Below are 14,327 nucleotides of genomic sequence, written 5' to 3'. Positions count from 1 at the left end.
GGTCTCACTCTGTCACCCAGCTGGAGTACAGTAGCACTATCACAGCCCACTGTATCCTGGACTTCCTGGCACAGGCAATCTTCCCATCTCAGCCCCCTGAGTAGCTAGAACTAGAGGCTTGTTCCACCACACCCAGCTAATTTTTTCATTTTTTTGAAGAGATGGGGTCTTGCTATGTTACCCATGCTGGTCTCAAAATCCTGGCCTCAAGTGATGCTCCCGCCTCAGCCTCCCAAAGTGCTGAGATTACATGCATGAGCCACCACACCTTGCCTGAAACCCATTTTAAAACATATTGAGAATGCCTGACCATAAAAGTTGTCAAGATTGGCCTCCATCACTAAAATAAAAGTTGACAACTTTTGAGAAAAACACCAGGAAATTACTCCACCCAAGAAAACAAAGTTGTTTTTGAGTCACCTGTTTTAGCAGGCCTCAAGGGGTTGGTTCAGCAGAAAACACATTCACGTCACAAAACTCAACAGGCAAAAGCATGTGACTACCCAGCCAAACCATGTGTCTGTATGACTTTTGACTAAAAAGGTCTTATTCACATTTGTCAATATTGCAGAAAGTATCAGGTTCCAAACCCAGCCCAAACTCCACTCCATATGTCTTCTTCCTCCCTACAAAAGAGTTCCTTTCCCAACCTCCTCACTTCTTCCAGGACAGCCTTCATTCTGCCACTAGGCTAAGAATAGAGAATCAAGAATAAATATAAGCCATAACCCTGCTTTCAAAAAACAAAACTGCTGGAAATGTGGCTCATGCCTGTGATTTCAGCACTTTGGGAGGCTGAGGCAGGAGGGTTACTTGAGGCCAAAGTTCAAGACCAGCCTGGGCAACATAGCAAGACCCTGTATCTAGAAAAACTTAAAAAAGAGTGCTCACCTTGGCAGCACATATACAAAAATTAAAAAAAGAAATTATTTGGGCATAATGGCACATGCCTGTAGTCCCATCTACTTGGGAGGCTGAGGCGGGAGGATTGCTTGAGCTCAGGAGGCCGAGGCTGCAGTGAGCCATGATTGTGCCACTGCACTCCAGCCTGGGCAACCGAGTGAGACCCTGTGTCAAAAAAAAAAAAAAAAAGAAAAAGAAAAAAAGAAAAGAAAAGAAAAGAAAAAGGGCTGGGTGTGGTGGGTCACACTTGTAATCTCAGCACTTTGGGAGGCTGAGGTAGGAAAATTGCTTGAGGCCAAGAGTTTGAGACCAGCCTGGGCAATATAGCAAGACCCTGTCTCATTCTTTTTTAAGGTATAAAAATGTTAACAACAACAACAAAAAACCACAGTCTTGTTGAGAGAAAAAAGAAAGATCAACACTGGAAATGGTAAGTTAACTGAGAAGACAGTAATTTGTTTTAAATTGTCAGAAAGAGACTTAGCAAAATGGACTCTAGTGAACTTTTTTCCGATCTTCCATTACTGGAAAATCTAATGATCAGAATGTCCTAGATAATGCCCAAACTAACTTACCACTCTTCACAAATATGAAGATTTAGAAGGAATGAGCGAACACACCACAAATCATTTTGCAAGTAGGAACATGGCCCCAGCTTGTGTGTGAAACTGCTAGAGGTCAGCCACAAGTTCAGTCTCCAAATGGACCATCTGGCTTTGCTTATGTCTATGAATGCAGTTTACCTCCCACACCATCTAATATTCACCCTTCACCCTGAATGCAAGAAACATTTGTTATTGAGAGGGCACTAAGAAATCATGTCAAATCATATCAAATGATATCAAATCATATCAAATCAAATCATATCAAATGAAATAATGAGAAAATTAAGCCCACAGATTTATATGAAAAAGGACAATAGCATCAAAGGCAGAACTACTGAGGAGACTCCTCAGTGAGAGTGGTCCAGAAAAGAGCTCTGGGAAACAATATCCCAATGAACAGACAAAAATAAGCTTCAAGAAATAAATTTTATTAAACACTTTTTTTTTTTTAAGATGGAGTTTCGCTCTTGTTGCCCAGGCTGGAGTGCAATGGCGTGATCTTGGCTCACTGCAACCTCCACCTCCCAGGTTCAAGCTTCAGCCTCCCAATTAGCTGGGATTACAGGCATGCGCCACCACGCCCGGCCATATTAGCCACAGTCAATAGCCTATGCTCCTGGAATGGAGGGCAGGTGCTTGGTGCATGCAGAGTTCATGCTACCTGCACTGGATGTCCAGGGGCTCATGTAGACCTCTCTTTGTTTCTTTATCATGAACTTTAAATTTTTTTCTCTCCTTTCTTTTCCCCCTAGTGGAACAACTGACAATCTTCTTAGAACAACTAAAAAAGCTGAAAAAATACTGAAAACATCCCACTGAAGGCCTCAGTGAGTTAACTAACTACTGAAGAATTATTAGAACTTAGAAAAAACAGGAATCCAGAAGTTTAACTCAGCTCTTTGGGAGCTTTGTCAATTATTCAAGAGGTAGCCAAGAGGCTTTTTGCTCTTTTGACTACCTGTACGGCTAAAAGGACAAAAGTCAGAGTCCGGGGCCTCTAGAGGAAGGTATGCCTGGTAAACACCCTTAACTTTGAGTTTGCACTCTGAAGAGCTGCCCTGTAGCATTAAAGTAGACCAGGTCTCACGGATCTGAAGCCAGCTCCAAATCATCTCAAGCCCCAAAAACTGGTGATCCCCACTGTTAGTGCCCAAGGTGTCTGGTGAGACTTTCTGACTCTCTAGCCTAGTCTAGAGAAAGATGACACTATTTTATGATTCAAACAATGCCTCCAAACAGGTTTTGAAATACAATATCTAACACAAAGTGACCAAGCACACAAAGAAATAGGGCCGGCGCAGTGGCTCACACCTGTGATCCCAGCACTTTGGGAGGCCGAGGCGGGTGGATTACTTGAGGTCAGAAGTTCAAGACCAGCCTGGCTAACATGGAGAAACCTGGTCTCTACTAAAAATACAAAAATTAACCGGGCATGGTGGTGCACACCTGTAGTCCCAGCTACTTGGGAGGCTGAGGCACAAGAATGGCTTGAACCAAGTAGGCAGAGGTTGCAGTGAGCCAAGATTGCGCCTCTGGGGAACTCCAGCCTGAGTGACAGAGTGAAACTGTGTCTCAAAAAAAAAAAAAGTGACCATGCACACAAAGAAATAGGCAAGAAAGAACACTTCAGCATCACCAACAATAACAACAACAATTATCGGGCCGGGCACGATGGCTCAGGCCTGTAATCTCAGCACTTTGGGAGGCTGAGGCGGGCAGATCACGAGGTCAGAAGTTCGAGACCAGCCTGGCCAACATGGTGAAACCCCGTCTCTACTAAAAATACAAAAATTAGCCAGTCATGGTGGCACTACATGGTGCCTGTAGTCCCAACTACTCTGGAGGCTGAGGCAGAAGAATCGCTTGAACCCGCGAGGCAGACGTGCAGTGAGCCGAGAATGCACCAGCTTTGGCAACACAGCAAGACTCCGTCTCAAAAACAAACAAACAAACAAAGAAACAAACAAAAATTATCAAACACTTTTACATAACTACACCTAATACATTTAAAGAGATCAGAGACACAATTTAGAATTTCAGAGAACTTGAACCTGTAAGAGGATATAACAGATTAAACTTCCTTTTTTATTTATTTTTAATTTTTTTATTCTTTTCTTTGCAACAAAAGCCACATTCAGTAGACTAAACTTTCAATAACTGAAAAATATAAAAATCAAAATTAAAAACCAAAGGGATGGGTTTAACAGCAGATTAGACACAAATGAAGAGAGATTTTTGTGAACTAGAACATAGGTTTAAAAAATCCAATAATTGGCTGGGTGTGGTGGCTCACACCTGTAATCCCAGAACTTTGGGAGGCCGAGGCGGGCAGATTGCAAGGTCAGGAGATCAAGACCATCCTGGCTAACACGGTGAAACCCCGTTTCTACTAAAAAATACAAAAAATTAGCCGGGCATGGTGGCAGGCGCCTATAGTCCCAGCTACTCGGGAGGTTGAGGCAAGAGAATGGCGTGAACCCGGGAGGTGGAGCTTGCAGTGAGCAGAGATTGCGCCACTGCACTCCAGCCTAGGCAATGGAACGAGACTCCATCTAAAAAAAAAAAAAAAAAAAAAAAAACCCAAGAAGTGGCCAGGTGTGGTGGCTCACACCTGTAATCCCAGCACTCTGGGAGGCCAAGGCAGGTAGATCACTTGAGGCCAAGAGTTTGAGACCAGCCTGGGCAACATGGCAAAACCTCTTCTCCACAAAAAAAGACAATAATTACCTGGGCATGGTGGCACAAACCTGTAGTCCCAGCTACTTGGGAGGCTGAAAGGTGGGAGGATCACTTGAGCCTGGGAGGTTGAGCAATGATTGTGACCCTGCAGTCCAGCCTGGGCAATAGGGTGAGGTCTTGTCTCGAAGAAAAAAAAAAATCCAAGAATAAAGCTCAGAAAAATAAAAAATGTGGAAAATTCAAAAGTACATTTTGGGCTGGGCATGGTAGCTCAAGCCTGTAATTCCAGCACTTTGGGAGGCTGAGGTGGGAGGAATCCCTTGAGCCCAGGAGTTCAACACCAGCCTGGAAAATATGGCAAGACCCCATCTCTACCAACAAATTAAAAAATTAGTAGGGCATGGTGGCATGTGCATATAGTCCCAGCTATTCTGGGGAGGCTGAGGCAGAGTATTGCTTGAGCTCAGAAGGTTGAGGCTGGAGTGAGCTGTGATCATGCCACTGCATTCCAGGCTGGATGATGGAGCAAGACTGACTCAAAAAAAGTAAATTTTGGAAAAGATGGAAAATTCAGTGAGACAAAAATGATTATGAGAAGTGAAAATAGGAGGCCAGGCGCGGTGGCTCACGTCTGTAATCCCAGCACTTTGGAAGGCCGAGGTGGGCAGATCACCTGAGGTTAGGAGTTCGAGACCAGCCTGGCCAACATGGTGAAACCCCCATCTCTACTAAAAATACAAAAATTAGCCGGGTGTGGTGGCGGGCACCTGTAATCCCAGCTACTCGGGAGGCTGAGGCAGGATAATCGTTTGAACCCGGGAGTTGGAGGTTGCAGTGAGCCAAGATCGGGCGACTGCACTCCAGCCTGGGTGACACAGTGAGACTCCATCTCAAAAAACAAAAACAAAATAAGATAGAAGAAACATTTGAAAAGAAACTGACCAAAACTTTCCAAAACTGATGAAATATGTCAAGCCAAATTAAACAATACTAAGAATCCAAAGCAGGATAAATAAAAAGAAATCAACAAGTAAGCCCATCTGAAAACCAAAGAAGATCATAAGGCTCGTCGTGGTGGCTCATGCCTGTAATCCCAGCACTTTGGGAGGCTGAGGCCAGAGGATCACCTGAGTTCAGGAGTTCGAGACCAGCCTCGCCAGGCTGGCCAACATGGTGAAACCCCATCTTTACTAAAAATATAAAAAATTTAGCAGGGTATGGTGGCAGGTGCCTGTTATCCCAGCTACTTGGAAGGCTGAGGCAGGAGAATCGCTTGAACCTGGGAGGTGGAGGTTGCAGTGAGCCAAGATCACGCCACTGCACTCCAGCCTGAGCAACAAGAGCGAAACTCTGTCTCCAAAACAAAAACAAAAAGATCATAAAAGGAACAGAGCCTATTACAAAAAGACAAATTACGCTCAAAGGGGCCATACTGAAGTTGACAACAGACTTCTCGACAGAAACAACAGGAGCCTGAAGAAAACCTGTTTTCAAAACGCTGAAAGATTGTGGCAATGGTTGCACAACATTGCAAATCTGCTTAATGTCACTAAATTGTACATGTTAAAATGCCTAAAATGGTAAGTTTATTATATATATATATATATATATATATATATATATATATATATATATATATATATAAAATTATTTTTTTTGAGATGGAATCTCGCTTTTCTTGCCCAGGCTGGAGTGCAATGGCACCAACTCAGCTCACCACAACCTCCACCTCCCAGGTTCAGGCGATTCTCCTGCCTCAGCCTCATGAGTAGCTGGGATTACAGGCCTGCGCCACCATGCCTGGCTAATGTTGTAGTTTTAGTAGAGATGGGGTTTCTCCATATTGGTCAGACTGGTCTCCAACTCCCGACCTCAGGTGATCCGCCTGCCTCAGCCTCCCAAAGTGCTGGGATTACAGGCGTGAGCCACCACACCCAGCCTATTATGTATATTTTACCACAATAAAAATTTAATTTTTTTTTTTTGAGATGGAGTCTCACTCTGTTGCACAGGCTGGAGTACACTGGTGCGATCTCAGCTCACTGCAACCTCTGCCTCCCTGGTTCAAGCGATTCTCCTATCTCAGCTTCCCGATTAGCTGGGATCACAGGAGCACAGCACTACACCCGGCTAAGTTTTGTATTGTTAGTAGAGATGGGGTTTCGCCATGTTGGCCAGGCTGGTCTCAAACTCCTGACCTCAGGTGATCCACCCGCCTTGGCCTCCTAAAGTGTTGGGATTACAGGCATTAGCCACCAAGCCCAACCGAAAATTTAATTTTAAAAAAGGCTGAAAGAAAATAAATTTCAACCTAGAATTATATGTCCAGCTAAAATGTCTACAAGATTAAAGGTGAAATACAGGCATTTTCAGACATGGAAAAATGAGAAGATTCATCATCAATGGAGCTTGCTAAAGAAAATAACTGAAGAGTATTCTTCAGGCAGAAAGAAATGATCCCAAAAGGCAGCTCAAAGTTGCAGGAAGGCATGAAGAAAAAAGAATGGGGTAAATATGTGGGTTGACCTAAATGGATATTGACTGTATAAAACAATTGTAATGTTATGTGGGTTCTAAAAACATAGAGAATATTAAAATACACTCAACAAAGATATCTAAGTCAAAGAAGGCTGATTAATGGTGTTAGTGTTCTAAGGAACTGGCACTGATGAGTATATAAGTACCAGTTAGGGCCAGGCGTGGTGGCTCACATCTGTAATCCCAGCACTTTGGGAGGTTGAGGCAGGTGGATCACCTGAGGTCAGTTCGAGACCAGCCTGGTCAACATGGTGAAAACCTGTCTCTACTAAAAAAGGAAATTAGAAAAATTAGCCAGGCGTGGTGGCGGGCGCTTGTAATCCCAGCTACTCGGGAGGCTGCGGCAGGAGAATGGCTTCAACCCAGGAGGCAGAGGTTGCAGTGAGCCAAGATCACGCTACTACACTCCAGCCTGGAAAACAAGAGTGAAACTCCATCTCAAAAAAACAAACAAACAAAAAAGCACACACAAAAAAACAGAAAAACGTTTTTTTAAAAGTACTAGTTAGCATTAAATTTTCTTTTTAAAAAAGGTTTATTAGGCCGGGCTGGTGGCTCACGCCTGTAATCCCAGCACTTTGGGAGGCCGAGGCAGTGGATAACGAGGTCAGGACTTTGAGACCAGCCTGGCCAACATCGTGATCTTGTCTCTACTAAATATACAAAAATTAGCTGGGCATGGTGGTGGGCACCTTTAATCCCAGCTACTTGGGAGGCTGAGGGAGGAGAATCACTTGAACCCGGGAGGCGGAGGTTGCAGTGAGCAGAGATCACACCACTGCACTCCAGCCTGAGCAACAGAGCAAGACTGCGTCTCAAGAAAAAAAAAAAAAAAAGGTTAATTTTAAAATAATTTAAAAATTATAGAAGAGTTGCAGAAATAGTATAAAGGATTTCAATATCCCACTTATCCCGATTTACCAGTTTTTAACATTTTGCCATATATGCTTCATCACTGTCTTCTTTTCTCTCTCCTTCCTTCTCTCTTCCTGTATATCTATATATACTTTTTTTCTTAATCACTTGAGAGTAGGATGCATTCATCATGCTCTTTTAAATCTTCATAAAAAGATCTTACATAACCATTAAATACATCAAATTTAGGAAATTTAATATTGACACAACACATATCTAATCTACTGTTCATTTTCCAGTTGTAAATTTTTTTTTTTTTTTTGAGACACAGTCTTGCTTTGTCGCCCAGGCTCAATGGAGTGCAGTGGCACCATCTCAGCTGACTGCAAGCCTCGGCTGCCGGGTTCACGCCATTCTCCTGCCTCAGCCTCTCAAGCAGCTGGGACTACAGGCGCTCACCACGCCCGGCTAATTTTTTGTATTTTTAGTAGAGACGGGGTTTCACCGTGTTAATCAGAATGGTCTCAATCTCCTGACCTCGTGATCCACCCGCCTCGGCCTCCCAAAGTGCTGGGATTACAGGCATGAGCCTCCGCGCCTGGCCATAAATGGTTCTTTTAGCAAGATTATGTACAGTATTGCACTGGTTGCCATGTCCTTTTTGTCTTTTTTCTCTCTCTTTGGTCTTTTTAAATCTGGAACTTTGTTTTATTGACAATGATAGTTTAACAATAAAGACCAATCATTTTGTAAAAATGATAACATTCTTGTGTCCGGAATCGGCGGGTTCTTGGTCTCACTGACTTTAACAATGAAGCCGCAGACCCTCGCGGTGAGTGTTACAGCTCTTAAGATGGTGAGTCTGGAGTCTGTCCCTTCTGATATTTAGATGTGTTTGGAGTTTGTTCTTTCTGGTGGGTTTGTGGTCTCACTGGTTCAGGAGTGAAGCTGCAGACCTTTGCGGTGAGCGTTACAGCTCTTGAGGTACCGCGTCTGGACTTGTTCATTCCTCCTGGGGGGGCTCGTGGTCTTGCTGGGCTCAAGAGTGAAGTTGCAGATCTTCACAGTGAATGTTACAGCTCATAAAAGCAGCGTGGACCCAAAAAGCGAGCAGTAGCAATATTTATTGCAAAGAGCAAAAGAACAAACCTTCCACACTGTGGAAGGTGACCCAAGCAGCCTGCTTTTATTCTCTTATCTGGCCCCACCCACATCCTGCTGATTGGTAGAGCCGAGTGGCCTGTTTTGTCAGGGCACTGATTGGTGCGTTTACAATCCCTGAGCTAGATACAAAGGTTCTCCACATCCCCATCAGATTAGTTAGATACAGAGTTTCCACACACAGGTTCTCCAAGGCCCCACCAGAGCAGCTAGATACAGAGTGTCGATTGGTGCATTCACAAACCTTGAGCTAAACACAGGGTGCTGATTGGTGTGTTTACAAACCTTGAGCTAGATACAGAGTGCCAATTGGTGTATTTACAATCCCTGAGTTAGACATAAAGGTTCTCCAAGGCCCCACCAGAGCAGCTAGATACAGAGTGTCGATTGGTGCACTCACAGGGTGCTGATTGGTGTATTTACAATCCCTGAGCTAGACATAAATGTTCTCCAAGGCCCCACCAGAGCAGCTAGATACAGAGTGTCGATTGGTGCACTCACAAACCTTGAGCTAAACACAGGGTGCTGATTGGTGTATTTACAATCCCTGAGCTAGACATAAAGGTTCTCCACGTCCCCACCAGGGCAGCTAGATACAGAGTGCCGATTGGTGCATTCACAAACCTTGAGCTAAACACAGGGTGCTGATTGGTGTGTTTACAATCCCTGAGCTGGATATAAAGACTTTCCACGTCCCCACCAGACTCAGGAGCCCAGCTGGCTTCACCCAGTGGATCCCGCAGGGGGTTGCTGCAGGTGGAGCTGCCTGCAGGTGGAGCTGCCTGCCAGTCCCGCGCCATGCGCTCGCACTCCTCAGCTCTTGGGCGGTCGATGGGACTGGGCGCCGTGGAGCAGGGGGCGGCATTCGTCGGGGAAGCTCGGGCTGCACAGGAACCCATGGAGGCGGGGGAAGGCTCAGGCATGGCGGGCTGCAGTCCCGAGGCCTGCCCCGTGAGAAAGCAGCTAAGGCCCGGCGAGAAATTGAGCGCAGCGCCTGTGGGCCGGCACTGCTGGGGTACCCAGTACACCCTCCGCAGCCGCTGGCCCGGGTGCTAAGCCCCTCACTGCCCGGGGCGGGCAGGGCCGGCGGGCCGCTCCGAGTGCGGGGCCCGCCAAGCCCACGCCCACCCAGAACTCCAGCTGGCCCGCAAGCGCTGCTCGCAGCCCTGGTTCCTGCTCGCGCCTCTCCCTCCACACCTCCTTGCAAGCTGAGGGAGCCGGCTCTGGCCTTGGCCAGCCCAGAAAGGGGCTCCCACAGTGCAGCGGCGGGCCGAAGGGCTCCTCAAGTGCCGCCAAAGTGGGAACCCAGGCAGAGGAGGCGCCAAGAGCAAGCGAGGGCTCTGAGGACTGCCAGCACGCTGTCACCTCTCATTTTGACAGGTTAAGCATGTATTACAATCTCATGGATAATGACCATGAAACTAACGAGACATTCGTTTCTGTCTCCTTTAGGAAGCCAAGTTGGCTTTTCTGCCCTGATGGTGCTTGTTGTGTTGGTTATGTGATTGTGTTTTTGTCAAAATTCACAGAACCATGTTCTAAAATGTGTGAAATTTATTGTGTGTAAAGTATACCTAGACCAAAAAAATGCTAGTCTCTAAAAGTTGAATTGTCTGAATATTCCACCAGAGTATATGCTTCCAGTGTTTTATTCTAGTCCTCATTAATTAAATTTTAAAAATTTGGATTGTTGCTTGGGAGACATGAAAGTCTTTTTTTTTTTTTTTTTTTTTTTTTTTTTTCAGACGTTGTCTCACTGTCACCCAGGCTGGAGTCCAGTGGCGCCATCTAGGCTCACTGCAACCTCCGCCTTGCAGATTCAAGCAATTCTCCTGCCTCAGCCTCCTGAGTAGCTGGGATTACATGCATGTGCCAGCCACCACACCTAGGTAATTTTTTTGTATTTTTAGTAGAGACAGGGTTTCACCATGTTCGTCAAGCTGGTCTTGAACTCCTGACCTCAGGTGATCCACCCACCTGGGTCTCCCAAAGTGCTGGGATTACAGGTGTGAGCCACCACGCCGGGCCAGATTCCCGGCCTGAAATGCATTTTTAAAGTCTATTGCTATATACTTAGGGACAAAGATGGTTGTTAAAGGTAGAGAAAACAAAACATTCAACATGTCTTGAGGAAAAGGAAGTGTTGGTGGGGGTGAGGTGGGGGCAGTTGCTTGTCTGTCCTGGAAAGGCAATTTCTTACCGCTTCATACCCATTTTATACCCATTCCATTCTTTCTAGAAACACAGATTTCTGTCCTCATTGTTTTCATATTTGTCTCCTATTGTCATGTTTTATGAGCAAGTCATAAAGGGAGGAAGAGGGAAAACAAAGTTCTGAGGCTTTCTTAATCTACTTGCTCAACCTGCATTTTTAGTAACCATAAAGAAATTGGTTGGGCTCACTTTTACAGCTTCCTCTTCTAGCAAGAAGTCCCACCACATGCCATCCACCTAGCCACTTAATGCTCGTCGAACAAGTCAAATCTATAGCAAATATGTAGTCTTGTTTTGTACTTTTTTTCAAATGTTATGTAAAAGGTATACTGTAAAATCATACTAGAACTTCTTTCACCCAATGATTTTTAGATGTACCTACACACATGTAGCGTCCCCATTCACTTTAACTTGCACTGAATAAATATATCAAATGTACTCTTCTATCTCCCCACTGACAAGATACTTGGCATTACGTACTCCAGACAACCAGGCAGCGACTGTTTTAAGTCTTCTTATGCTGTTGTTTGTGCTAGAATTTCTCCACAGCATATTTTGGAGGTGAAATTACTGGATCCGTGTGTATGTGTACATCTTCACCTTTACTAGGTATTGACAAATTCCCCTGCAAACAGGTTGTACTCCTTTTCACTCCCACCAGCTGTGTAGGACAGTTCCCATTTCTCACCAACAGTTGCTATAATTAGACTTTCCTATTTCTATCCAAAGGATGAGTATAACATTGTATCTTATTGTTGCTTTGGTCTGTATTTCCCTGAGTTCTAGGGTAGTTGAGCTCGGTAAATAACTTAACCCCACCCTTTGCCTCGTTGTTTTTAATTGGGGTATGTTTTCCTTATTGTAGTTCTTTAAATATTCTGGATGGCAATCCTTTATTAGTTATACCTTTATATTCTCCCATTCTGAGGCTTATGCTTTCGCTTCTTTAATATTGTTGTTTTTCAAGTTTCAATTTTTGTAAGTTAAAAATTGATATATAGTAGTTGGACATATTTTGGGGGTCCATATGAGTTTTGAAACTTGTATAACATGTGATTATCAAATCAGTGTACTTCGGATATCCATCGCCTCAAATATTTATCTTTGTGCTAGGAACAATACAAATCTTTTATTTTGAAATTTACAATAAATTATTGACAATTTCCCTACTGTACTTCATTGAACTAATTTTTAAAACATAAAAAACACACAACAAGTGTATACATTTTTATCACATGTGCATTCCTGGTTGCCTGGCGTGCTGCTCTTGTGTCAGCCTCTCCCAGATCCAGGCTGATGACACTTCCTGCCATCAGGAATACTAGGATACTGCCTGTGGTCATGGGAGGTGAAGAGAGATCTAACAGTTCACTTAGATGCAGTGAAATACAGCCATCCCTCGGCACCACGGGAGATTGCTTTCAGGACCGCCCGCAGCTACCAGTGGAGCGCATGCTCCATTCGGCCGCTCCGTGGAACCCGCACATACTCCACGCAGCCACTCGTCTGTGGAACACAAGTATTCCATATGGTCTGTGGAACCCGTGGATACAAATTCAGCCCTCCACATAGGTCAGTTTCACATCCCACAAATGTTTTCCATCCCTATTTGTTTGCACATGCGGAACCCGTGTTTTTCAAGGTCATCTGCACTGCTGCTCACGCTAGTTGTATGGAGGTCAGAAAAGAAAATCAAACCTCTTCACTGAACGGAAATTTTTTGTTTTGTTTTTCCCTGAGACAGAGTCTTGCTCTGTTGCCCAGGTTGGGGTGCAGTGGCGTGATCCCAGCTCACTGCAACCTCTGCCTCTGGGTTGAAGCAATTCTCCTGCCTCAGCCTCCCAAGTTGCTGGGTTTACAGGTGCCCACCACCACGCCTGGCTCATTTTTGTATTTTTAGTAGAGACGGGGTTTCACCATGTTGGCCAGGCTAGTCTTGAACTCCTGATCTCGTGATCTGCCCGCCTTGGCCTCCCAAAGTGCTGGCGTTACAGGTGTGAGCCACCATACCCGGCCGAACGGAAGTTTTTAATGCAGTCAGATATAAATTTGATTTGTTGCTGTGCCTTCTCATAATCTATGCACTTTACATTTAATATGTAAAGTTCAGTGATCTCCAGTATTTTCACCAGTTGTGAAACGACAACCACTATCCAATTCCAGAGCACTTTCAATATCCATGGCTGCTATGGAGTTTCACAAAGAAAACTGCCAATTCCTCTCAACCTCCAAGGCCCTGGCAACCACATATCTATTTGTACCTATTTGCCTATTCTGGACATTTCATGTATGTGCAGTTACGTGCCTGACTTCTTTCACTTAACACTTCAAGGTTCACCCATGTCATAACATGCATTAGTACCTCATTCCTTTTTATGGCTGTTTATCCAGTTTTCAGTTGAGGGAAATTTGGGTTGCCTGCATTTGGGGCTATTATGAATCATGTTGCTATGAACATTCATGTACTAGTTTTTGTGTGGACATGTCATCAATCCTCTTGGATATGTGCTTAAGATTGACATTGCTGGGTTCTATGTCTAACGCTATGATGAACTGTCAAGATGTGTTCAACAATTGTCTTTACCGTTTCACAATCCCGCCAGCCATATACGAGGGTTCCAATTACTCCACATCCTTGCCAATACTCACTACTGTATTATTGGCTGTTAACCTTTAAGAAAGGCAGCCTAATGGCCTGCTACAAAGAGGTATAGGCATTCTAAGCCCTTTCAAGGGTCATTTCACCCTGTCAAAGAGGCTGTGAAAATCAGGGAGACTGAAGATCAGGTGTTCTTTGTATGCTTCCCTTCCCTGCACTTCCTTCAGAAATGGGTCCTGCCTCCTTGTATTAGCTTCTCTTAGGTATTTTTTTACAGATTAAAGAGAAAAGATTCCTTTCCTTTCTTAAAAGAAAAAGTGCATCTACCCAACTTTTATATTCAACAAAAAAGCCTTCCCTTGTGTCCAGCTATGGGTAAAAGGGAAAGTGAGAGGACTTTCCCAAAAAAGATGGAAGATGGGAAGAGGAAGAATGGAGACAAGAATTCAGAGTCCATTTACACTTCAGGGTCTTTTTGAAACTGCTAATCAGGATGTGTTAATTTTGAAGCTGAAGGTATCAACACCAACATGGGAAGGAGTGAAGGAAAGAGCAGAGGTTCCCAAGTCAGGTACTGAGGGTCTGCACTTTAAGAGGGTGTTTCCTGTACTGTAGTGAAGACCCAACACCATTAGAACCTGTGTAAACGTCTCACAGCAGGAAAGGGACACAGGACAGGAAAAAACATCAGGAAAAGTAGAACCCAGGGTGCTGGTTTCTCTAGTTTGTCAGATACTGCATTCCAAAGTCAAGCCTGAGGCTGTATGACTCGA

At 44.5% G+C, this 14,327-nt stretch overlaps 3 annotated features.

The window, feature by feature from the left end:
* Positions 9,382-9,541: a silencer, noted in NCBI's record as "silent region_14180". NCBI's record gives its function as "represses an Ori minimal core promoter by ATAC-STARR-seq in GM12878 lymphoblastoid cells {active_cell/tissue: GM12878}" and the evidence as "EXISTENCE:reporter gene assay evidence [ECO:0000049][PMID:35858748]".
* Positions 9,565-9,720: a silencer, noted in NCBI's record as "fragment chr3:32944496-32944651 (GRCh37/hg19 assembly coordinates)". NCBI's record gives its function as "represses an EF-1alpha promoter that drives an FKBP-Casp9 reporter gene in an ReSE screen in K562 erythroleukemia cells {active_cell/tissue: K562}" and the evidence as "EXISTENCE:reporter gene assay evidence [ECO:0000049][PMID:32094911]".
* Positions 9,762-9,841: a silencer, noted in NCBI's record as "silent region_14179". NCBI's record gives its function as "represses an Ori minimal core promoter by ATAC-STARR-seq in GM12878 lymphoblastoid cells {active_cell/tissue: GM12878}" and the evidence as "EXISTENCE:reporter gene assay evidence [ECO:0000049][PMID:35858748]".

This window comes from Homo sapiens, chromosome 3 (assembly GCF_000001405.40).
Source record: "Homo sapiens chromosome 3, GRCh38.p14 Primary Assembly".
Taxonomy (NCBI): Eukaryota; Metazoa; Chordata; class Mammalia; order Primates; family Hominidae; genus Homo; species Homo sapiens.
This window is presented reverse-complemented; position numbering and strand designations above follow the sequence as displayed.